This window comes from Homo sapiens, chromosome 5 (assembly GCF_000001405.40).
Source record: "Homo sapiens chromosome 5, GRCh38.p14 Primary Assembly".
NCBI classification, from domain to species: domain Eukaryota; kingdom Metazoa; phylum Chordata; class Mammalia; order Primates; family Hominidae; genus Homo; species Homo sapiens.
Window position 1 is genome coordinate 94921987 of NC_000005.10, and position 27513 is coordinate 94949499.

Sequence of the window (27513 nt, forward strand, 5' to 3'; positions counted from 1 at the left end):
TTGCCTCTGATCATGCCATCTGGGTACCTCAAGGCAATGACATCAGTGTGATGGGCCTTACTTTCCTCATTGGTAAAACAGATGACCCCTAAAGGTTATGCCTATATGACTCAATTCATTTGTCAACTCTTCATTGTCATAGGCCCAGAGAAGACATTACCATCACACCGTGGATACAAGAAAGTTTGTTTATTTTTAAACTTGCACATTTGTTATTCTAGGATCAAAGAGTTCAAGAGATTGAGAAAGGTTATTAAAGAATATTTGGGGATGAACACAACCAAATGGAAAGTACTGATAAGAGGAAAACTTGGAAGTAGCAAAGAAGATCTTGAGAGAGCCACTTGAAAGGGAAACACTTGAAAAAGTATTAATTATGAAGTTCGCCCTGGTGACAAATCTTCATTCACAATGACCAGTGTGCACATTTGCTGCACATAGAACAAACTTAACCCAGAACACCCCCCAAATTCTACTCTCAAAGAAGTGTGCCATGTATATTCCCCCCCTTTTTTTTTTGAAATGGAGTTTTGCTCTTTTTGCCCAGGCTGGTGTGCAATGGCGCAATCGCAGCCCACTACAACCTCCTCCTCCTGGGTTCAAGCAATTCTCCTGCCTCAGCCTCCTGAGTAGCTGGGATTACATGCATGCGCCACCATGCCTGGCTAATTTTTTGTATTTAGTAGAGACGGGGCTTTGCCATGTTAGTCAGGCTGGTCTCCAACTCCTGACCTCAGGTGATCTGCCCGCCTCAGCCTCCCAAAGTGCTGGGATTACAGGCGTGAGCCACCAGGCCCGGCCAGTGAAATAATTTTTGGATAAAGCCATTATCCATTTAAAGTCATGGAACAATTTAAAAGCACTCATCCTGTGTGTTCCTGGACAATGCATGAACATATAAGAGGAATTATTATTTCAGCAAAGTACAGAGTAACTTCAGTGAAGGCAGCCAAACAGTAGAAATGAAAAGGGTATAATTACTAAAATAAGCTCACAACAATAAAAAGCTGCAAAAAAAAAAAAAAAAAAAAAAAAGTGCATGTGCATTCGAGCTGGTAAGGATGAATAAATGTGGCGTATACTTGCTCACTGGTCAATACATGACTTAATCTGGTACCTGCCTTTCTACTTAAGAGACACTACAACAAATATTAAAATTCTAAAGAAAAAAGGTAGTTTTCAATAATGAAAAGTTTGCGAGTTAAGAAAGGAAAATGGACAAGCCCTAAGAGTGTAGCATTTTCATTGTAATATCTATTGTTACATTAAGCATATACCAAGTGTGAATTTTCAAAGAAAGAGGAACATTCTTAAAGGTAAAGCAGTAAGTGCATTAGTAATAAATTGTGCTGTGCATAATGCAGAATTAGAGCAGAGAAAAAAATGGATGGTCATTATGCTTTAATCATCAAAGAGTAAGTTAAATTGCAATGACATTTAAAACAAATTATCTGTGAATCATCATTTTGTCTTTATTTAAATCAAAAGAGTTGCTGTTTTCTAAATTATAGGATTTCTTTTCAAAGAAAGAGCACTGATCAGTATATATCTAGGACAGAGTTATAGTATAGATCACTGTAACAGAAGTAAATATTTTTCTCAAGCAGAAATGGAGCAGAAAATTCTAATCTCATTTTACAAGAGAGGAAAGAAAGAGCCTTCATGGACCTTCCAGATGGCACCGTTATATTCCTGGAGAGTCCCTGGGACTCTAGCTTCTCAGAATTTGGAATAAACTTGGTTTCATAAAATGACTTCAAAGAAATATGTTCAATTTATGAAGTTCTTAATTTTTACAAGTGTAGAAATAAAAGTGAGTTACCTAGATGACTTAGAAGATAATAAAGAAGGCAAATGAATACCTCTATCTGGAAGCCTATCTTAAAAAATGAAACTCTTAGTTGCCATGTAACTTTCAAAATTGCTATCCAAAACCAAAAATCAAGAATATTAACAAAAAGGATTTAGACATTACCCTCCAAAAGAGAGACTTCACAGAGAAATAAGATCCAACCACTTCATTTTCTGAAAGTTCCTAGAAACAAACAAATATTTAGCTACATTTTGAGATGTTTTTGAGAATAATTAATATTGTAAATACAAACAAATAAAATCAAAGCAAATAAAAAATCGAAAATTATATATCCTAAAGATACTTGGGATATTTAGAAACTGTAAGTTTTCTTCCCTTGAGTAAATTAAAATTTTTGTGGTAGTAAAGTTTAGAGAGGATTATTTCTGTAATTTTTTAAGAGTCCACTTACCTTTTCATTCTTAAGTATTCATTAATATATTTTAGAGTCTGATGGTTTATTATAGAAAGTAGACTGTTCAAGCATATTTTAATATTTTAAAGTAAAGCAGATATTTATTCCTTTTAACAAAACAATTATGTTAACCATTGAACTTCAGAGCATTTTTAAAGAATGATTGCAGAAGTCTTATTTATAAACATGCACCTAGTCAAATTTGGTTTACATTTCTACAAAAAATTCCAAATTTTATAATACAATTAACAAACATAGTAAGTGACTTAGTTAACTGAAGTTCGCTGACAATAATTTTAAAAAGGAATGAATACTGAGAGAGTTGGCTATTGGACTAAAAGCAATGCAATGGATTCAAGTAGAATAGTTTATTACTTAATCCTCAGACTTTTATAAAGGAAACCAATTCAACTTTGGGAAATAAAAAAATAGCTATCCATTTTTAAATAGAATATCTAAATTACAGTCTTCCCTTAAATGTTAAAGCTTTGCATTCTGTCTCTAGGTGTCAGTTATGATAAAGTTTCAGGAAACTGATGACAGTCATGGGAAAGCATCAATAGTTGACACTGTGATAAAGAGGAAGCACTTTTGCAACTTCCTTGATTATTCTATGATTTTGTGTCAGCAATTAAGATTTTGGAGGCGAGGTGGGAATTTTAATGATCAAGATTTAGGACTTTGGTTTCTCTTTTAAAATTTGAGAAATAAAAATATTAGCCACATTTAGATGCATTGAAGTCCCCAGGCTGTGCTTTTCATGCCATGTTTAATTACTTCTGTCATCCATCAGCTAAAATTTATATTTCATTTTACAACCCCTATTCTCATGTAGATTTAGGCCTTTATTTCAGAGGAAACAATTTAATTTTCTTGTGGACCCTGTGCCATTTACAACAGACCAGCCAAAGCCTTCCTTTCACTAGAGTCTAATGATAATAACAATAACAACAACCACAACCACAATAATAAGGCACCTGGCATTACAGAATGAGTCCTAAACAGAAGTGGTGATTGTATTACGGAGAACAAGAAAAACAGCATAAACTATTCATGAATTCCAGAGAAAACTTATCTTAAAGCATAATTGTAGATATTTAGTTACGCTTCAGTCTTCATCAAGACAAGAGGCTAAGTGAGGCAAAGTGACTGTTTTTTTCTGGTTTTTTTTTTGAGACAGAGTCTTGCTCTGTCGCCCAGGCTGGAGTGCAGTGGCGCAATCTCGGCTCACTGCAAGCTCCACCTCCCGGGTTCACGCCATTCTCCTGCCTCAGCCTCCCAAGTAGCTGGGACTACAGGTGCGCGCCACCACACCCGGCTAATTATTTGTATTTTTTAGTAGAGACGGGGTTTCACTGTGTTAGCCAGAATGGTCTCAATCTCCTGACCTCGTGATCCGCCCGCCTAGGCCTGCCAAAGTGCTGGGATTACAGGCGTGAGCCACTGCGCCCGGCCAAAGTGACGTTTTAAAATTGCTAAAAGTATAAAGTACCAGCAAAGGGAAACAGAACAAAAAACAGAAATATCAATTGATAATGCAAAATTATTAAAGTTATTCTGAAAGATGAATTGTTAAACTGTTTCTACCAAGATTTCTAATTTATAAGAGTAGTAAGATGCATTGGGAATATCTTATTTGTTTCTATTTTTGCCTCTAAAAATCTAATACACACTAAGAAAATTTCTCCTCAAAGATAAAAAAATCTAATTATGAATCTAAATATTAACCAGATTTTAGAGTAAAAAATCTAGAAAAGAAATGTTTTTTTCACAGGGAAATAAAATTAAAGGACAGTTTATTTTTTTCTAACAAATGCATATAATGTGATTTTTTTCAGCCTTCTACATAAATCATAGAAATCTTTAAAGACTTTTTCATCAGATGGAATAACAATTAGACAACAAGCTTTTATTAAAAGTGATATTTTAAAATTAGTCGTAATGTGTACAGAGCTTTAAACATAACACATACTATTACAAACTCAAAACCTTCACAAATTGATTTGAAATTGTGAAGCCTGATATTCAAATCTAAGAGTCAAGTCAGCTAGTATTCCTGATTACAAAAGCATGCTTTCATAGGAACTCAATTTCCTTTATCAATACAATTTTGGCCACTTAAGAGATTAAAAAATAAATAAATACACAAACAAATCATGTATATAAACTTTCCTGGTCAGATTGCAATCACTGTTCATCAAAACAATGGCTCTTGGATGCTTCCATCCTAACAATAAAGATGCCTCATGATATTGACTAAGCTTATCAATTGTTACGTTAACCAGGGCTTTGGAGCCAGGATCCTGACAAAATTATAAATCGTTTCACTGTATACATTTAGGGTCCCTTAAGACCAACAAATCTCCTCCCAGTTCCACTCAATTTAATAACTAACTGTCTGTCTATCCATCCATCCATTCATTCACCCTTCCATCTATCTTTCTTGTTAAATTAAAAGGCCATGTAATCGCACAGCAGCCCTTAGTTCTGCTATCCTGGAACCCAGTTATATTAGGTCTCCCCTTTTAATCGGTCCAGGAAGAATCCTAAGAAACTGGCCGACTCACTTGATAACACATGCCACCAATGTGAAGGCCACCCAGCAACCACACAATAAACATCCTAGACCTGAAACACAAGCATTGTGGAATCCATCCTCTCACTGAGATTACATTTTGTCCCTTCACTTTGTACCAACTCATCCAGATCTGCTCCAGAAGAACCCACAACATTTAGAAAAGCCAACAAGAGTACTCAAATAAATGTAATGCCATTGTCACAGCAAATCCCTGTAGCTATGAATTACAATACATAAAAATTATATTTTATGCCTTTGGGGAAATATTGTCAAAATAGCAAGGAAAAACCATCTCAACATAAAATTTAATTATGGCTCCATGTATTTTGTGGGGCTAATGAAATATCTACTGACATTATAATATCTCTTTTAAATAAACTTACTACAAATTTCAGGACTTTGGTTAGGTGGGGTCAAAATATATTCTTTGATAATAGAAATACTCACTGCTATTTACCATTTGTTCATTGTTGCATTTTGGAATCTCAGAAGTCTTGCTTATGAGGTTGATTTTATAACATTTCCAAATAATACAGATTTGGGAGTACAGACAATGGCAAAGTAAAAATCTTTTAAAATAATTTTATGTTTACTTCAAAAATACCGAGCATGTACTTTTTTTCAAAGACATATGCGTAATGACTAGAAATATGGCACCTAAGAAAAGCCATTTTGGTCACTCATAGTTGAGAAAGTCTATGACCAAGAGTTTTCATTTTTGCCGCTTTAAAAAAAATTGCCTATTTATTATCAGGATATAATTTTTTTGTGGAAAGAACTTGATAGTTGCTAAATAATGACTTTTTTTCATCATGTCTAGCTGACTGTGTGAGATACTTAAAGATGTGTTAATCTGTTTCTCCACCGTTAGTTAAATTAAAGCACTTAGAGTTTTTGCTGATGCATTTTTAATGTGTCATCCAAGGTGTCAGGTTTAACTACTACGCCCTGCAGACTTACAGAGTTGAAAGTGTTCTCTAGTTTAAATTAACAATCTCCTTGCCAAAAGTCTTATTAAAAATTGCTTCATTCAACCAATGAATAAAGTGTTTTATAGTTCATTAAAATTATGCTAAGTGGTTATAATAAAATCTTTATAAAAAGATGTATTATTAAAAAAAGATATAAGCTGTCAAGTAATAGAAGATATGATAATCAGACACCATCACAGTAGTCTGTATTATATTATTCAAAGGATGAACTTTTCTGAAAGAAAAACTATTCTAAACTGTTATTGTCAAAAATATGAATTGCAATGCGTATGTTTTTATATCATCACGATAATATTTGTTATATAATTGAAGTAATTTATTGAAAGCACATAAGTTTATTATTATCTCACCTTTACCCATTGGTAAATTCATTATTCTAGGTTAAAACACACACACACACACACACACACACACACACACGATGTAATGTAAAACCATAACTGCTTATTGTTTGATAGAGCCAATTATTTCATTACATTTTTCCATTTTTGGCTTGGCCCCACAAAATGTATTCACAAAATACACATAAATCATCTCTTTTGAGTTCATGAAACTTTCTTGATGAATAATTTAACCTTAGAATAAATTATCAGTGATAAGCTTCTTCTAAAGAATAAAATATTGCAATAATCCAAAGCACTACCATTTCTCTGCTAAAACACATTTTGTCACATAAGTGTAACTCTTTGACCTGGATAATTCTTCTGTTGCCCAAGTTTAAGGAGACATCAGCCCCTTTCTTCTTAAAATAACATAATTCTATAACAGCTGAGTGTGGGGCAGAATTCAAAATGTGCGTAATAGAAAGTGTGCTTGTGGAAAACCAGAATGAGTCTTTTGAAGGATGGTTCTGTCCCTAGAAGAGGCAATATTATGGAATTTATACCTATATACTTGTTTATATGCCATTCAAATATAATGCATATTTTATACATTCTTCTTTTTCAGAGGTAAGTTTAGATGCATTTTTTTCCTATGTATTACTAAGTGGTAATACAATTACCCGCCCCCCACCTCCAAAAAGAAAAAATAAGTTAGTCCTGAACAGCAATTAGGATCTCCCTGTCCTCAAGCTGGCGATTCTTCTTTTGATTTCAATAGTTAAATACAACCCCACATTATGTGAGTGCCACAAGTAATAAGATTTCCATTGAAAGAGCCTATTATTAGCAGAAGTATGGTTACAAAAACAGGTAAAGAAATTTCATCATAGAAAGTCAAGATGATGAAAATGACGAGTAGATGCTTAAGGAACAGGAAATTCCATGAGCTGATTCACATTGCAGAGCGGGGAGACAGGCGTATTTAAAAGAACAACAACCGAGTCGATTTAGCCTTTCTTCCTCTGTAGGTACATTATTTCTGAAAGAAACCAAGTAAAGGAAGAAAAACTCCATACTGGAGAGAATTTCTAACAACACTGGCTATCTTTAAGTCTTTGCTACAAAATTTACACTTCTTAGATTATCTATTCACCATTGACACTCAAAGACAGGCTGCATGCCAAAGCCCTGCCATGAAGATGCGGGAGACCTCATTCTGTAAATCAAGATTCCAAAGAAGAAAATGATCTGTGTTTTTATGAAAAATTTACCTTTGAATTTGAACATAGTTATATCATATATGAAATACCCATATTTAAATGTAATGCACATAAAATTACACCCTATTTCCAAAAATAAAAAACGAAAAATCTGTACTCAGACAAGAATTTTTAAGAAGATTGAAATATTTAGAAAATGATGCATTTTCATAAAACAGTAACATAGTAAAATCTATAAAGCTACACAGTATAGTCCCTTACCCCTTAGTTTCCCAGGAAGCACAATTTACCGGAGGAAAAGATTCAGGGAGCAGTTTCAATGTAGCAGAGTGTGTGAAGGAAGGTGGACTAGCTAGTAATTGAAATGTCAAACTTTCCCCCGATTTTGGATTTAACATTGCGCTCTTGTAACACTAATATAGATGAATATGGCAAATGTTTTAGGGCACAGTAAAAAATCTGAATGAATTAGCAGGTGTTCAGTATGTTCTCACAGAAAAGAAAAATCAAATGAGTTAACTGATTTTACTTCACTTAGTATTCAATATCCCCATTAAATTTTTCAAAGTTGAAAATCCCTTAGGCTAAAACCCAAAAGCTTATGTTAACGCTGTACTAAATATAATCTGCCAAGTACTCAAATGAGTGCTGTTAGACATAGGAATTCTGTATCTTCAGTTGGAAGCTTGAAAAATGCATCCGTTCGAATATATAAATGGATTGCTAATAATAAATATAAACTCCAAGAATTTTAGATATAAAACAGTAGAGGATAGATGTTTATTATTCACTTTAAATTTTCTGTATATGGAACAAAAATATGTTATATATTTTTACTTAATTTATGTTTAAAATTATATTTACATTTAAATATACATTTAATATAATTTTTAAAGAAGAATTTTTTTTTTTTTTTTTTTTTTTTGAGACAGAGTCTCACTCTGTTGCCCAGACTGGAGTGAAATGGCATGATCTCTGCTCACTGCAACCTCTGCCTCCAGGGTTTAAGCGATTCTCCTGCCTCAGCCTCCCTAGCAGCTGGGATTACAGGCATGTGCCACTACGTCTGGCTAATTTTTGTATTTTTAGTAGAGATGGGGTTTCACCATGTTGGCCAGGCTGGTCTCGAACTCCTGACCTCAAGTAATCCACCCACCTCGACCTCCCAAAGTGCTGGGGTTACAGGCATGAGCCACTGTGCCTGGCAGAATCTTCATTTCTAATCTTCCTTTTATACAATAGAATGGATTATTCCCATTAATTAATACTAAGTATTATATAATATCCTGCTCTAGCATTACATGTTAAATATATCTGAAAGAATATTGTTACATATTGATGGGTTGTCATGTTTTTTACACAAATATATCCAATTATATGAATTTAAAAATATATACACTTTTAATATAACAATAACTGTAAAGTATAACTGTAAAGGAAAAAGTAATACAAATATGAACAGTGCAAATATTTCTTCAAAACATCTTGAAACTTTATTTTGATTAGTGAAAATCACAGTGAACATTAAGTTAGAAATATTCAGCAACCTTCCTTAATAAGCCTTTTTCATTTTATTAAAATAATAAAGGTGATTTTTAATGGGAGCCCTGACTTTTTTGTAAGCCAAATTATTCTTTGGTCATTAATGCCATTAATGCCATAGGAATTAGGGAGAAAATGTACAGTAAGAGACACTTGTTCAAACAGATTAAGTCATTACCATAAATATAAAAACATTTTGATATATATTAATTCACAGTAATAAAAATGACAAAATTAAAGAAAAGCTTAGGTAAAAGCATGATTCAATCAGAATGGAAGGAAAAAGACTGTCATGTTCCAGGGTCTAAAAAAATTAGTCATTATTAAAAAGGAATACTGACTCTAAGTAGAAATTTGAGCAGACAAGATTTTTACAAGTAAAATCGTTTTGATTTATTTCAAGGTATATTCATATAAAAATTGTTTCATCTTGATATCGATCTGTGTCCAACAGTGGCAGCATCACTGAACAAATTAAACACTTAGTTTATATTTTGCATATCTTACAAGTTGAAGAAGAGCCAGGGCTTAGTAAGTTACAGGAACCATAAACTCCTCTCACTTTATTTCTTAAAGTGAGAAGAGACAATGGGGAAAAATTGTTCTTATTGTATACTATAAAGATGTAATGATACAGGAATTTCTGAGTTTAGAAAGCCTCATACTCAATTTTCTGTGACCCCCCAAAATAAAATAAATTGTGCGAATCTTTCTTCTGTCTGGAGTTGTCCCTCCCCTAGCCTCATCATTTTATTCCTGGCTCAGAGCAATTTTCTAGACCCTGTTGCATATATAGTTGAGACCAGATGCTGAGAATGATGTTGAGAAGTGACCAGAGAATAGTGAAAGGATGATTTGAAGCTATTGATCGGTGTGATTTCTATTTAAAAAACATCACATGGTTGGCTTAAATTTATGGGGAAAAGTAACAATTGAATAGTATGAAATCTGGTAGCATACTTTGAAGAGATGAGAGAGATCTGGGAAAGCAGATGATAGTTCTGCTCAACAAGAAAAGCTGAAAGATCACAAGCTAAGAATTACCTTACTTGATCTTTTCCAACTCTTCCTCATTAGCATTGTCTGTAAATAAAATAAAGCATTTTCATTATCTTTTCACTCAAGAACAGAATAGGGCAGCCAGTTGTTTTTTAGCGGAAACATTTATTAGCCCTTGAAACAGCGAACAGTTCCTGCAGCAATTATACAACACAAAACTTGTTTGCCACGCACACACAACTAGAGAAACAACTTTAACATTCCAGCAGTCTTTCTGGTGAGAGTTCATTTGATTTATTCCTTTGTAAAAAAAAAAAAAAAAAAAAAAAAAGGAACAGTATCGGGATGCCTTTATTGACTGAAAAAAAACACATTGAGTCTCATAATTTCCAATGGCTCCTTTTGGTGGTGGAGGTTGAGGTTGTACATGACTTGAACAGGTATATAATAATTTTTCTCTTCAAACACATTCAAAATCTTTTGCTTGGATGGCATCGTAGAATTGTCTCTGTTTCCAGTTAATCTTTAACTACATCAGGGCCTACAAATGCTTTCAATTAAAAACAAATGCTGCATACTGTGATGGCTACTAGTGTATTTTCCTGCTAAACGTTTAGTGAAAGCATATCCTTTAAATTAGTTAGCTTGTGTCATACTAAGAAATATGTATGGCCAAAAGTTTTAATTAAGGTTCTAGAGCTTTGTAATGCATCCCCAAGATCACTAATCTCTTGAATAAACTAAATCATAAAAGCCCAACGAATTTTTTTGTTTTCTCTCTTCACTTTAAAAAATTTCTCAATGAACACTGAAGTATTAACCTTCCTGATTAACCTCTTTCCCCTCTCTTTGCTTTACTATTATGTTTAAGGCAGATGAAGTGGAGAATAGGAAATATTCAGGGCAAGGAATATAGCTTAAAGTGCTTGTGCCATATTTGTGTATCAGGGAAATGTACTTTAAGAACTGTATCTCTTTCAGGAGGATTCACCATAAAAAAGAACCATGTCAGAAACTATTCATGGATTAGAATAACACAAAAATGAAAAGATTTTTAATATAAGATGAGGGCAACCTTTAACCTAAACCACAAGAATGAATTTAGACATTCTAGGGTAAAAACTAAGACTAGCGTAACATTTTCAAAGATAATTATATGTTCCTCTTTTATGTTTTCAAAGATAATTATATGTTCCTCCTTAACAAAGACTGTTAAATGTTGACCAAAACATAAAAGAATAATAGATTTCCTAAGGTTACAATGATTCCTCATCACGCCTACTTTTTTTTTTAAAGTCAGGAAACTGCAAAGCACTGTTATCAAATACTATTATAGAAATACTTTATGTTTTCAAAGTACTAAATGTCCAGTTCATTTTGAAGCAACAAATCCCAGCATTGGGTTATAGAGGTGGCCATCTAGGGGGACATGTACTAAATCTTTACTTTTGATGTTACATGATTTATTATCATCAGTATCATCATCATCATCACCACCACCATCACTTCCTCCATCATCACCAAAAGGCAACTGGAAACCAAATATTTAAGTGGTATACCATATTTACAAAAACTGCCCCATAAGAGTTGGATAATAAACACTCAACTTTCTCACCAAGCAGAGTTTCAATGGACAAAGAATGGTATATCCTAGAGATGATATTTTGAGTCAAATCAATCAAGAACTATTAAGATACATAAAAAGTACAATCTACAATTCATGGTCACTTATCATCATTATCTAGCATCTAAGAATTTTATAATATAAAATTCCATTATATAAGAAATGTTATGCTATGTAAAAGGGCCTTAGAACATTAGAAAGAGTGAAATCTCATGGCAACACTAGCCAATATTACAAGGATTCCACAAAGTCACATCCCCTGACTCACAAGGACCACATACAATTAACCTTCTATAGTAAACAAAACATAGGACCAGTATTTGTCCTGTCTCTCAAAATCAGCTTTATAAGCAGGCTGCATGGTTTTATTTTTCAGATTGAGAAACTGATACAATAAAAAGTCAGTGATTACCCTAAGTATAAATAGGAAAGATTTAGCAGTTATGAGAACCCATTCACTATTTTCCTAATTCAGTATCTAAAGTTCTATTACTATATCCAGTAACTCTCAAAATGACCCTAGATTTTATAACATTTCTGCCTCTTGAGCCAAATCTACTACCAAAGCAATGGGTTTAAGTATCTCACTTCCAAGTCCCTTTTTCTTTTAGGTAGTTGAGTTAAGGTCGATTCAATAAAACTGAAAACAGTAGAAAAATTAAAAAGAAAATTTAATATATATACTATTAATAATGTTTTCTTTGCTATCTGTGAGACATGTTAGAGAAGAAAGATTGGGGATTGTGAAAGATAGAAGATGAAGCAAATTATAGAAAAATAAGATTTATTTTTTTGCTCTATGATCTTAACTTCAGCTGAGAAACATATGAATTAATTTTTGAAAGGATTATTGCCTGATATTATTATAGTACAATTCAAATTCTTCATTAGCAGCTCAACTTCCTTGAAGCCAGTAAAAGGAATGAAGTAGCATAAAAATATGGCTTGTGATAGAGCTGCAGAAGTAATTGTTTTTAAAAGACTCCACGATCTCAATCCATTTTTTAATTTTTATCTTTTGTTGAAGTGACTTTTTAAGGCGATTATATAACTACTGTACATATAAAGAAATCACAGAATTAGATACAATAGTAACATACATCTTGTAAAGCATACATATATCAACTTTTTGTAGGTAGATATTTCTTCAAATGTTGGCTGTGTAATAATTCTGAAGAATATCAAAACTAATCCAAGATAAAGAAGTTTTTTTTTTTTTTTTTTACTCATCAAAGGCCAACTGAGATCATTCATATGTTTCTTTGAATTTTCTATTTTTTAGCCTTAGGCAAGCAATTTGTAGGTCTAGGTTATTTAAGAGAGTGTGTAACACAAATTAACTCACTTTTATTTCACAAATTCTCCAATGAAGAAAGCTGTGGATTGAACTCTGCTAGAAAAAGAGCCAGAAAGAACTCAAACACACTATCAGACAAATTGCCATATATAGGACACACATATATGCACTACACACTTTTACAGGTTCAAAAATAGGACATGCAATCAAAACAGAAATGACAATTGTGCCATGCAACTCATCAGCATGCCCTCCATGGAGGTTTTGGTTTCTTGTACACACAATGCTGGAAACTTAAAATGTATATATATATATCTTCACATCTGGAAATTTTTTTTTAAAGACTCAATCATGACCTCAATGGAGAAGATTTTGATATGGCACCTATGAAATACAAATTGCTGCAATTAGACATTGAATATTTTAGAGGCTTTAGTAGATTCAGTAGGCTGATAGGTTTTTCAACTCATTCTTCACTTTTACTGATTTCTAGAACTGGCAATCCACACAAGGAGAAATCATCCCAACTGCATAATTCATGGAACGTATTGTTACTATTAACAGTGCATAAAAAACTCACAAGATGACTGTTTTAGAAATCTTACCACTTTGTAATGCTAAGGACTCTCTACTTCCAGTTATTCATTTCTTCCTACCTTGCCAGAGCATTTTATTCACATTAATGTTCTATTTCCTATTTGATTGTTAGGATTTATCTGTAAAAGGCTCTTGAAACACATCTCTTTCATTCTCCATTTTTAATACATATAAAATATTTAGCAAAGTTTTATCAACACAGGCATAAGAATAAACATGTGGTTTTTGAACTAACATCTTCAGTGCTAAAAGCTTGAAATAAATTATTTCTGAGTTAGTAATCAAAGAGAACAGAACTCCTGTAATTTTGCTCTGTGAGGGTCAATGTAAAATTTGCCTTTATTCCTTTCTTACATAATTCTCATTTTCTGGGGATTGTGAAGCATTCAGTAACTGATTTCTGGTTTGCTGCATTTTTAGCTTAAATTTCTCTAAATAAAATTTGTTTCTGAATAATTTGTGAAAGTTCAGCATGCCATTTTTACAGATGCAGTATGCTATGTTTTTTAGATATCTAAAAATTTAACTTTAAGATACATTGGATCTCTGATTTTTAACCAAGAAACTTCAAATGTAGCCCAGAGAATTTATTAAGCTGATACTTGACATGTTACAGAATGAAGAAAATACAGTGATGGGTTTATAATTTATTGTCATCATTCGAATTCCATGGGAAGAGCAATAAGGCTTGATTTCAAGCAGATTATCATTAATATACTAATTTTAAGAACTTACAAAAGAAAATTAAATCATTATTTAATCATGATTTGATATTGTTTGTGACAACCTCAGGGATTTGAATATTGAGGTAAGAAAAAAAACCATACACCCTCCCTTGGTCTTTTGAAGTCATCATAAGGAAGACTTTATGTATTATATATATATATTTCCCCTTGTATCAGTGATAGGACGTAGGATGGAGGTGAGGTGAACTATAGGCATATTTTAGGTACACAAGTAACACTGAAGAAAGCCTGGACTTGAGAGAAGGTGAACTGAGAAGGAGTTTGTATGGCTGGGACAGAAGTTACAGTGAGGGAACATACATTGCTTGTTGGAGAGCCTTAAAGTTTCTCACCAGGAGTTTCAATTTAATTAGAGAAATAGCCACAAGTCACTGAACACTTAGAAGAAGAATGAGGAAGTTATAAAGCCTGGTATAATGCTTAGTAGATGATCAATAAGTATTTTGTTTTATACAGATGCCTACAAATGGTTCTTATTTTGAGTTTCAAAACCTAATAACCAGTGTTGGTAAATATAAGAACCAGTTCTAGAGAGCTTAATAAAATAGTTATAGAACTGCAATGTAGGACAAACACAGAAGAAAAGCCAATTTATATGTGTTTTTGGGCATTTTCATAATGTAGAGCATATGTTTAGAAACCCAGATTCAAATCTAGGACATCAGAATAGCTAGGATACTGAATCCCAGCAGAATTTCCAATGGGGGAATCTTTCTCCCCTCCCTCCTTTCTCCCCTCTCCTCTGGCCCCACTTGTTTCTCTACAACCAAGCCCATGCCTCAGCTATTGATTGTACCCACGAGGATGAGCCAAGATAGCCACACTGGTTACCCTTCTCTCTGCCTCCTTAGGGGTGAGTGAGATCAGGACAGGAAGTACAAGGATGTTCACCAGCCAGAGGCTGGCTCTGAACAGACTTGATCACTGTGCCTTTTCTAAGCCCTGGTTGAGCCACTTGCTTCTCTGATGAAGAAAGAAGCCACAAGAGAGTCAATAACAGGATAGGAGGAGAGAAGACGCTATTTCCCTCTTAATGCAGCAAAGTGAATGCAGTGCTCTCTGGAACTTTGAAAGAAGAGGGCATGAAGTAAGGTAATGAATGCAAAAAAACTTTTTGAGATGAAAAATACCTTTGGAAGGATTTCTTCCAAAAAATCTGGGGTAGTCAAAGGGATTTGAGCCAAGAAAATAGCATGAGGATTTCAGGAGGAACTTTTTGTGTTAAGGGTGAATGTGGCTGAAGAGATACGATGAAGAGAAAGGAAAAGGAGGAAAAGAAGATGAAGAAAACCATATTTTTGATGTATAACTGCTTTCATGTAACCCACCTACTTTCTTCTTTATTTGTGTTTGATAACTTACTAATGATCAGCTCCCAGGCACTGTAATATTTTTAGATAATTTTTACATTTTAAAAATAAGTTTGAGCAACCATGGAGACTGAAGGATTTTTGCAAGGATTGTTGAAGAAAAAATAATGTTGGAAACTATTTTGCCTGTGCTGTCATATTTCTGTGTAATTTAGAACAACTCAGCAGCTTCATCGTAAGGTCTCCTGATAGTAACTTGCTCCCTCAAACCCTCAGTTTGATTTTAGAGTATTTAATAAACATCCCTTTAATGTAAAAATTCAGCTGACTATACATTATCAAATCACCCAAATCACCACAATCGCTGCTATATCATCCCAATCTCCAGGAATATTGCAAGTTTAGATGGTCTGGGAATACACAGGATCTCAGGCACTTAGGTATCTTGATTTATGAAGTGCTGTCCTTCATTAAAATAACAAAGAACCCCAGCATAAGAATATTCTATCACCAAGTCTTGTTGATTTTTACCTCCTATAGGTAAACCTACCAGTTTCCCTCCATCTCTACCTCTGACAGTTCTAATCCAAACCTCCATCATCTTTCACCTGGATTTTTGCCATGGCCTCCTAATTGGTCTCCAGGTATCCATTCTTACCCCTTCAATATGTTTTCTACAATGCAGCCACAGAGGTATTTTCAAAAGGCAAACATGATTCTACTGCTTTTGATTTACAGATCTTTCAATGGCTCCCCCACAGTGTTTTGGGGAAAGACCCAAACCTTAACATGGTCAATGAGTTCTACACAGTCTGGACATTGTCCTTCCACCCCAGTGTTGTTATGCACTCTGATCACCCACACTGTCTTTGCTTCCACCTTCTCTAAACTCCAGTAGTTTTTTAATTCTTGAAATGCAACATGGTTCCTCTTGTCACATGGCCTTTGTGTGTGTTGTCTCCTCTGCTTTAAACACCTCCTCTCTTTCTTGTTTTTGCTTTATTAAGGCCTATTTTACACTTCATATCTCAGGTCTTATTTGGCTTCCTTAGAGAATCCTTAACCCCTGGCTAGTAAAAATTTTCCTATATTTGCTCTTTCAGCAATATGTACCTCTTTTTCACAACATTTAAAACAGTTGTTTCCATCAGTGACTAATTGATTCCTGGGTTCTCCACTGGGTCTAAGTTCTATTGTATCCTAAGTGTCTGGCACAGGAACTGGCTTAAAGTAGGTTCTCGGAGAATACTAGAATCATTTAAATAAAACACAAAATGCACATTTATAATTGATTCTTATGTATGGATTAGCCAGCTAGGTTATACTTCCTGGCTTGCCCTGAGTGAAATAATGTCTTCTGAAGTAGTGACTTCTAAGATGACGGGCTTTCATTTCTAGATACTTTTTTGTAAAAATTGTTTCTCACTCACCCCTCTGCACAAGGGTGCATGTGCACACATACATACATAATTTTACCAAGCTAAGTTCTCACACTAGGTATTATTATCTGGCAATTCTTATTTAAAAAGAAAAATTTCTTCCTCAGTGAATGAAGTATGGATACTTAACCCAATTTAGCAAATATTATATGTAAACGTATGTGTTCATCATTAAATTTCTAAAAAGGAGGGAGAGAAATACTTCTTGAAAGGGTGAATTTTTCAATGAGTTTAAAGTATTTCCAAATTTGATGTTGTAATTCACTATTTTTACCTGCAGTCTAGGGGAAAACGCCAACAATACCTTTCCAGCAGACAATCTATAACCAACTTTAATCATGCATTATTTTAGGACAGCAATACATACATTGCTGAAATAGAGTATTTGGACTTGCCTAAAAAATTATGTCTACTACTAAAATGTGTTATAATCAGAGCTAGTTAGAGTAGTTCCCAGGCACATGGAAGCACATTGAGTCCAATAAATAATCTCTGGCAAGTTGTGACAGAAAGTACACTAGCAAGCGTACTGATGTGGGTCAAGACTGATATTTTTTAATGCCACTTCAACTGTGGGGGAGTAATTAGGTCCTCTGTGTCCCTTGTCAGTTTCTCATAGCAGCATGGTGTGCAAGGACGTACAGACAGCTAGTGCTGAAAAATGGGTAATATCAACATGAAAGCCCATCAAGAAGATGAAAAGTATTCACTTATCATTCACTAAACAAATACCAGAAAGCAGAAACTCTGTTATAATTTCACCTCATTTTCTCTGTTATGGTACACCTGACAATACAGTCAAAACAGCAGGGTCTGGATACCGTAATGTGGAATTCCAAGTATTCAATTCACTAATAAATGTATTTCCCAAATGAATACTAATATTTGCCTATAATATAGCATGTCTGAAATTGAGAAATAAAATAAAAATTCAAATCTATTTCTTATTTACAACAAGAGGTTCTGATCTGGAGGATGTAATAGGAAATTAGAGTTGAAAAGATACAGTAAGCATGAATGAGCAATACCTAGGATACTCACAGAAACAAAGAACAGGGCATATTTTCATAGGCAGCTTCTCTTTATTATCATCTCTGGGTCCAGAGAAAGGCTCACAACTTTCAAACAAGAAAGAGCTCCTACTAGGCTGTGGGGGAACTTACCACATCCCTGGACTCTCCTTCTTTAGGGGTAAGGATGACTGAGAGCAAAATGATTCCAAGATCATGGTCAGGATAATGAGGATCTTTCAGAGTAAGGGTCACATCTGTGGGCCTGTGATAGAAAATATTTAGATTTTGAACAGTCATTAAATGAATAAGCCAAATATATTTTTATTAATGCTTTATTATTTTAAGATAAAAAGTAATTTTGTCTTCCTTTACTTTCTTGGGACAATTTTTGTTATTAAAATATTATCAGTGTATTAAGTTATCCAATAAACTGCGTGTAGATCTGAATACACCAGATGAATTTCTGCTTTCTAAACCCATGAAGGTTCCAGAAAGTGGTTGAAAAGGTCAAGACTACAACCCTATTAAGAAGCCTATCAGTCTCCTTTCTATGCTCTCTAAACCCACAGAGAGTAGCGCCATACATATACACAAGTGTGTGTGTGTATACACATACACACACACACGCAAATATATATATATACATATATATGTATATATATATACACATATACATATATATGTGTATATATATACACATATACATACACACACATATACACTAAATACACATATGGGGTTACAGTCTGACTTAGTTCATTTTCATGTAATGATTACATACAAAAATTAATAGAAAAAACTTCATTACATTTTTTAATGATTACATGATAAAAACATAAGAACATTTACAACTGCCTTATGATGTATTATTCTTTCAGAGGTACCTCAATGTATTACATAGTATAATAACATAAATATTTATATGGCTACAATTGTTATCACTTTTTCTATACCCAGAGACTATTGATTTATATTTAGAATAAAACAGCATACACAAATAGGTTATTTTAAAAAGTAGTAATTAGATGTTTATGTGGTTTTGAGGAGAGGGAATTGCTAGTAAAATACATAAAATATGTTATGTAGCAAAATACACACCAAATGCTCATGTATAAATAATCTCTTTTAATTTTTGAAATTATTCCAAATTGTCACCATTTAAAATTATTTTTCACCGATGATTTATCTTTCATAGGAAACAAGATAAATTTATGCTTTGGGATTAAGTCTAGTCACTTGATATCCTTATGCAGAGGTCTAAGAGAAAGTACCTGTGAGGTTTACAGAAGAACAGTACAGTCTATTCCAGATTGAGCTCAGTTTTCATGATAATAGACTCCATGCAACACCACTTAGGGCACTTCCTACAGCGGCAGGGAGGTGTGAGCCTGTGCTAGGTTATAGGCTGGAATGAAGGACTTACAGAAAAAGTACAGGAAAGGCTGCTCTTTTGTCCAGTCTGAGGCAACAATGACTATTGGAAGACCAATAAGCCATTGTGCTCAAACTAAGTTGATTGTAATGCATAAGTGAGTTCTACACTTTATATTTCTCTAGTCATCTACATTTACAGAAATAGAAAGTAGTGATCTGGCTCATTACTCTGCTTTCCTGTTTTCCATCATCCCTGGGGCATGATGTAACATGATCATCCAAAACAGCCAGGAATTCCTTCTCCTTAAAACCATCAAAGAAGGTTTCACAGTTCCCTTTGCAACCTATTTCAGCATGCATGATCTTTTCTAATGGTATTTTTTTATTCTATAATACAAATCAATTCTTAGTTCCTATGTTGAAATTCACTTTGAAAAATATAAGCCCATTATTAGGTGTAAGGAATGATTAATATTAGTAACAATAGTAACTTTGCAACTAGGGAAGCAATGATAAGTAGTGTAACTGAGCAAATACAACCAACCTGCCTCCACCTTAGGAGCATTCCTTGGTAATCCGGCAATGGCAAAATCAGATTCTACCATGGCTCGAGTGACAAGAGAGTTGCTGTTTCTGAAGCAAAGTGTACACACTGCATTTTATATATAGTAGTCCAATTCTTAATAATTATGACTAACGTGCATAATCTTTTTTTATGCCCCATTAAAACCATATGGGCAATATGAAAGGAAGGAATGTCTCTTTTATCTCTCGATTCCTGGTGCTTAGCACAGTACTGGGGAACAGAGCAAGTAGGTATCCAAGAAGTTTTCGGTTGAAAAGTTGTTGAATGAGGTAGTCAGGGAAGATGCTATTATTTCCACTGGGTAAGTGAGGAAGATGGATTTGAGAAAGGCTGACTAGCAGGAAGGCTCACCACTATAAATGACAGAACTAGACCCCAGATCAGCTGACATTTTCTGTTACACAAGCCCACTGCATGACAAGGGGTGGTGATATTACAGCAGTTCAAAAGTTACCTGTTTAACTCCAATTGTGTCAGATCCAGAAAGGCTGAGCCCATAAAGTCATCCTGTAGTCCAAAATCATAGTCAAATACCTGAGATGCCAAAGAGAAAAAGCCTTGTTATAAATATCTCCAATATAAGCTTTATGTGATAATGTCTTGGTCATAAAATGTTGGTTGTCTATGTCACCAAAAGCATACTAATATTTGTATTTTAAAATAATTGTTTTTGTACTTTGGAATATTAGAGTCTCACGAAACACTTAAAGAAAACTACATTTTATTTTTTACTTAATATTACTGATGGATTATATCAAACAGAACTTTAAGATAGATGTAACATAATCAAATAAAATATAGTAAATCTTCAAAAATGTGGGAAAAAGCATAGAATTCAACAAGTATGTCTTTCATATTGGGCTATGATTGATGAGAATATGATTCCAATATCTTCGTATTTTTTAGGCCATTAAAGATACATTTTGTGATATAGGACAATGCCACTTTAAACATACAAATAAGTAAAAAGATACTATGATTAACCTACTTTATAAAGTTATACTAAGGTTAAGTTAAAATAAAGTTTTATTGTCACAAACAATTACTGGGGGATAATACTAATATACCTAACAACATAAAAACTAAAATGAAAAGAAAAGAAAGAGATAATGCGTTTCTTCCTTTTATCAATACTCTATCCAGTATCTTCTCTGTGTTTTGTGTGGTTCTTATTCACTCTATGGTAAGTAAGACAATGTCTCTGACCTCTTGGATTGTACATGGAGGGTCTGGGATGGCCTATAAATACCTAAATACAGTTCAGTTATAAGTGCTATGGAGCAAATAAATGTCTAAGAGGTGTGTGGGGAGCTGCTATTTTAGATGAGGAGACCAGGAACTCCTCTCTGAGGAAGGATATTTGTGTAGACACCCAAATAATGGGAAGGAGTACGCATGCTAGCAAGAGCAAGAGCCCTCCAGCTGAAGGAAACGGCAAGCCCAGGAGAGGGACTGATGTGTTTCACACATCAGTTGTGATCAGCAAGAAACCAGTGGGGTTGAAGCAAATGGAGAGAGACAGATAATGGAAGGATGCTGGAGGGATAGTTCAGAGCTAGATCAGTTAGGACCACTTCCAAAGGATGCTAAGTAAATGGGAACTGGCTAACTTCCATCCATCTATTAATTTTGTCACTCATTCATTCCCTCAGCCAATATTGGCTAAGTACTTATTATGTGCCAGGCAATATGCTAGGAACTGAGTAAACAGTGGTAAGCAAAAATGCCATTCTCAACGCTTACAGTTTAGTGAGGGAGACAGACGTTAAACAAGGAAGCACATAGATGATATGTGGTTACAAATTCTGATAAGTGTTTTAAGGAAAAGAAGAGAGAACGAAGAGAAAGTAAGGAAGTAAGTAAGGAAGATCAGGGAAACCGTTTACGATGGAAAAAAAAAACGCTACCAGATGAAATTTAGAGCTGTCACTTCCTGACCTTTTCAGGTAGAAAACATTTGTATTGAACACTGGAGTAATTGAGCATAACCAGATAAATCTGCTCTTGAATGGATGACCTGGGCCTTTGGTTGCTCCAGGATGTGAGAATCCATGAAGCTGAATCAACAGCCCAGCACTCCTATGCTCAATTCTTGGCACAACAGTTAGAAAGCTCAAAGCAGAGCATTCCTGAATCAGTTGCTCTTTTTTTTTCTTTTTATTTTTTTCTCTATTACAGGTGTACTTCAATTTAAGAAAATTTAATATGTAAAAAATTGATACTTAAATAAAAAGATAAATACTTTGCATTACAAAAGGATTCTTAGATTTGAAGAGTCACATGGGGATTTATTTAAGTAATAAGCTCCCTTAATGCCTTTTAAATTATTCAATTTGCAGTCATTTGATTTACATACAACCTTTCAAGAATGCACTTATTGTAGAAAGCTCAGCACTCCTGCAATAAATATTCTCCTTGATCAATTACACTTCTGAGCTTTAGTCATCTGCTCAGTGGTATAGCATATGCATGTACTGCACATCTTATGCAACTGACATCTCTGTATTTGCAAGTGGCTGCAGCAGTGTATTTCACAATATACAATTTACACCAAAACATTGGAGAAATTTCTCTTGTGGAATCTCATCTAATCATATCATCCTTAGGCTTAAAATCTTGGGGGAGAAAATAGGTGGCATATAATCAGTGAGATCACCTGAGGTTCACCCACACACATGAGGTTGAGAGCTGTGAATCCAGTGAATTTATTAGTGCAGACAGCCCAACTGGGCGATTCAACATCCAACCTCTTTTCACTCTCCTAGTGAGAGTCTTTCCTATTATCCTAATGCTAGATGTCTACTTTAACTCTCAATTCCTATTAATCTGCAAAGGCATAAACATGGGAAGAAAAGGAAACACTAGAATCCATGCATTAATGAAATTATTAGCTATGCTGTTTGGTTCCAAGCTCTACACACTATTTGTCAGAGGGAGCATTGCTCTAAGTGAGCTTTAGAAATACAGAGCATAGGAGAGAGATAAAATAGGAAAAGGTACTCCCACTGCACTAACAACAAGCACAGTTCATGCTTATTAATGTTTATTCAATATTTACTAGGCACAACCTGGTTAACAAGGTATTGTTGTTTCTATTTTTCAGATAATGAATCCAAAGCTGAAAAAAACACATGTTATTTTCCCCCCAAATCCTAGGGCTAGGAAGACACGAGATTCAAATCTTGTTGTATTGAGTGTCATAAACAGAGTGTGTTTAAATTTCACAAATATGTCTTAGGCACCCACTCTAAGAGAAGCACTGAGAGTTAAAACATGAATGATTTAGATGAGATCCTTGCTTTCATGGGTCCTTCCCACCACTAGTTGGAAACATTAGGTAACAGGTAGAAGTTGCTTGGGACTTGGTAACACCTTCTGCATTCTCAAGTGACTTTAGAACAAGAAATATTTAATTTAAAACAACAAATTCACCTTACTGTTTACTAAAAATCCATTGGGAAGTGTATCAGTTAAAATGCTTTTGTTTTTGTTTTTAACACAAAATTCAACTCAACTGGCTTCAATTTCTAGCTCAAATGACTGCAGAAATGTCTATAGGTAATTATGGCTTCTGGGAAGTTTTAATTTGGCGGTTCAAATTATTCATGCACTTATTAATTCATTTATTTGAAAAATATTTGGTGAGCACCCACAATGTTCCAAGTACTGTTCTAGGCATTTGAAATACAGCAGTGATCAAAACAGTCAAAGTCTTTGATTTCTTGGAGCTTACATATGGGGTGGGGAGAGACAGACAATAAAGAAATACATATGCCAAGTAGCAGTGATAAATGTTAAGGAGAAGAATATTTCAGAGTACTGGAGTGATGGGAACTACTATTTATACATGATGTTCAGAAAGGACAACGAGAGTGGGAGGTGTTTCCCCATGATGGGAAAAGTGTGTTTCATAATGAGGGAATAGGAAAGTGCAATCCATGATGAGGAAAGTGTCTTCTGCAAGGGGGGAAGAGGAAGTGGAGAGGCACTGAGGAAACTGGCCAGGGGCCAGTGAGGCTGAAAGTAGTAAGCAAGAGAAGAGTGCTGGAACATTAGTTCAGGCTTAGGCCGTGGGGCCTACCATCATATTTTAAAGTCTGGGAGAAGGATCCAGAGAGGAGACTGAGAAGGAACAGCTACTGAGGGAGCAGGAAAACCAGGAGAGTGGTATCCTGAAAACAAACTGAAGAAAGAATGTTAAGATGGAGGAAGTAGTTAACTGTATCAAAGGTAAATGATACAGCCTAATCCCATTTCTGCCTCTCCAGTTCTCTATCAGAGCTTCCTCATCATTACTGCCTCAATAGCTGCCCCAGGATGCTAATGGCCTGCCAGGACATCCAGAGTGGCATGCTTCTTTACTCAAGTCTAGTGGGGAAGCGTGAGCTGCTTTGTCCCAGCATTCCCAGCAAAGTACTGAATCCGTTCCAGATGGGCCAGCTCATATCACATGCCTATTTATTGGCCAAAGATATGGAAGTGGCTTAATGGCTAGCATAGGTTGCCTTTATTTTTAAAGGCAATGGTGAAGTCAGTGTCCATGGAACCATATGGATCTTCAAAGAGAAAAATTGGGAGCCCATAGAAAAGGTAAAAAGAGATACACATTTGGAAAATCCTCAACTAATATCCCTAACAGAGAATCCAAACTAGGGTTCTTATGATGGCTCCAGGTGCCATGATACTTGCCCCTCTAGAGCTAAAGCTAGTTGACACCCACCTGTAGCTCAGTCCTGGTCTTGGCTTTAGGAAAACTCCTGATATGAATCAGGGAGACTTTCAGGATTTCTAATTCAAGGCTTTGTCTCAGCATCAAGTTACCCTTGCCAAAGGTTCTGCACCTTACAAACTGACATCCCTGATGCTGGCCTATGTGTTAGTTTTGGGATCTCACTCAGGTCTTGCTTTGACCACCCACGTGGACATTCCCTTAAATCCATGTTCGGCATCCTTCTCCCCCAGTGCTTACTGATTGCATGGAGAAACATCTCTTTCTTATGTTATTCACTCTGAATATTGTTTTCTTCTTGCCTCTATTATGTAGTTGTCTGGCTGAGTAGTATGTCTGTATCCTAGGAAACTTGTACCTGGGCTAGATGGAACAGCCTCGTTTATTTCTTCAACCTCTGTCTTCACTTTGTTTTGAACTTTATTTCTGATCTATTCCCCTATTTCCAGCATCTCTGGAATCTGCTTTTGTTGCCTAGGCATTTTGCTTGCCTGGTCTCTGTCTACAAACTGAAAATAGCTCTATCTCCTCCCTGTGATACCGTACTCTGATCTTGCCCAGTCCTTGGGTTCTACCTTGACACCAAGCAATATGGTTAATATCCCCATAGGATTTTTCCCAGCCCCAGTATTGGGGAAATGGACAATGGATGTACGGATAATTTGGCCCTTCCATGTCTACCCTTTCCTATTGCAGTTCACTGTCCGTGCCTAATTATGCTCTGAATTATGACAGGGAGTATCTAATTGGCACTCATTCAGTAATATGACATCGCTCCTTAGAATTTTCTATTGCATTCCTTACATGGTAATTTCTATGATTGAATTAGTAATAATATACTTATAATATCTCATTTTTCTATTTCCCACAGAATATATGATAGTATATCCAATTTCAAAATAATCTAAAAATATTTTAGTGTTAGTTTACTAAATATATATATATATATATATATAGAGAGAGAGAGAGAGAGAGAGAGAGAGAGAGAGAGAGAGAGAGAAAGAGAGACAGGGTCCAGGGTCTCACTCTGTCACCCAGGCTGGAGTGCAGTGACATGATCAAGGTTTGCACTACACCTTAAACTACTGGGTTTAAGGGATCCTCCAGGCTCAACCTCCCTAGAGCTGGGACCACAGGTGCATGCCACCATGTCTGGCTTTAAAATTTTTTTTTTTTTTTGTAGAGACAGGGTCTCCCTAGGTTGCTTGGGCTGGTCTTGAACCTCCTGAGTTCAAGCGATCCTCTCACCTCAGCGCCCCAAAGTGCTGGGATTATAGGCATGAGCCACTAATAATATTTGAAACCATATTAGAGCTTCTTTAAAGGCCTAACCCATCTCATGAGATCATATAATGTGATCTAAGATATAAGATCCTACTTAGCAACAGTGTCCAAGACTCATTTTTATACTAAGGCAGTTTCAGAATAACCATCACATTGTAAAAGAATAGTTAAAGCCAAAAAGTCATAGAAGTGACATTGTAAAACAAACAAACAAAAACAAAACCTAACTATGACCTTAGCAATTAGCCATCTTTAGTGGAAACCAGAAGCTATCTTACTTAACTGCTAGGTGGACATAAACTAACCCTTAATCTCTGAGTCTCATGTACCCATACAAAAGAGACGAAAACAGTTATTTGTAGGGTTAGGGTTACATGAGATGATATTGGTCTGGCATTTAGCACTCTTCTCAGTCCATGGTAGTAACCATTACTATGATGAAGATGTGATTGCGGATTTCATTTTCCCGAGACTCAATAACTTCCCATATTCTTTGCCCACAATCCAAAAGCAAGTATAGTCATGCTTTTTTGTTTGTTTTGTTTCATTGCTGATTTTTTTTGGGTCCAAAATAGTGGAAATTCTTGATTCATGCATTTAGGAAGTGTTTTTGAATCATGTGAAACAAAACATCTGAGATAATACAAACATCTTACTATGAATACCTTGGTTTGGGTGCTCTATGGTTTATGGCTGGAAACGTTATTCCCATTCCAACTACTCATTTGTTTCCATTTAAATGTCCAGAAAAGTGGCTCCCTACTTGTGCCCCAGAATAACCTATTGAGGTGTTTTAAAAATACAGAAGCTTGGACTCTACTTCAGAGGTCCTGAATCAGAGTCTTCTCTGATTCAGGTCTGATTCAGGTCAAGTGAAACTTGGACCTCTAGATTCTTTAAACCTTTATGAATAACTCTCGTGTACAACCAGGGATGAGAATCATTGATATGTGACATTTTTTAAGTGTCCTTATAAGCTACCGAGAAATAATTTTGGACAGGACAGTAATATGGTCCTTAACTTAAACAGAGCTTAAAGTAACATTTTCAACTTTAACTCTTAAGCTTGGATAGAAATGAATTATTTAAGGAAATGTCCAATTTTTTAAAATGACCATCTTAGAAACAGTCATGTGGTCCCATACAATTATTTTTCTAATCTATCAAAATGGTTCTATTTTTCAGAATAGTGCTCCCAATTAATACTCCAATCTCCAATTCATGATTAGGCCAAACAAATAACAATTTATATAAATATATTCCCCTTTATGTTACTTTTATCTCTTCTACTGTAATTCTGGCATTCACTGTGAACCTGGGATAATAGTGTCAGTGAAATAACAATGGAGAATTTGAATTCAACTGAAATGGGTGTCAAATTTATCCTATTATCTAAGGTGTGTGCTGGAGCATCACTCTGAATACAGGGCAGACTAAAGTGGCTCCTGTCTCAACTAAAAGCACTGCATTTTAACTCCCAGTTTCTATTCTTACATTATATATAGATTTTATAGCTAATTCTCCAAGCCTTGTTCTCACCTGCACAGAAAATGCTCTTTTCATTAAAATTAAAAGTTACATAAATTCCAACCA

The 27513-nt window shown here is 34.9% G+C and overlaps 1 protein-coding gene across 56 annotated transcripts in view; it reads right to left on the bottom strand.

Moving 5' to 3' along the window:
• MCTP1 (multiple C2 and transmembrane domain containing 1) overlaps positions 1-27513 on the bottom strand; it is a 581405-nt gene that overhangs the window by 218297 nt on the left and 335595 nt on the right. For 25 of the 56 annotated variants that reach the window (XM_047417714.1, NM_001393535.1, XM_047417712.1 and 22 more), the window contains 4 exons: positions 20362-20441; positions 18098-18209; positions 9967-10005; positions 1976-2035 (listed from right to left, as the gene is read on the bottom strand). In XM_047417714.1, coding sequence (XP_047273670.1) covers positions 1976-2035; positions 9967-10005; positions 18098-18209; positions 20362-20441 — 291 coding nt within the window. The remainder of the gene's footprint in view (positions 1-1975; positions 2036-9966; positions 10006-18097; positions 18210-20361; positions 20442-27513) is intronic. The other 31 variants (XM_047417716.1, XM_047417713.1, NM_001393536.1 and 28 more) reach the window with 3 other exon arrangements.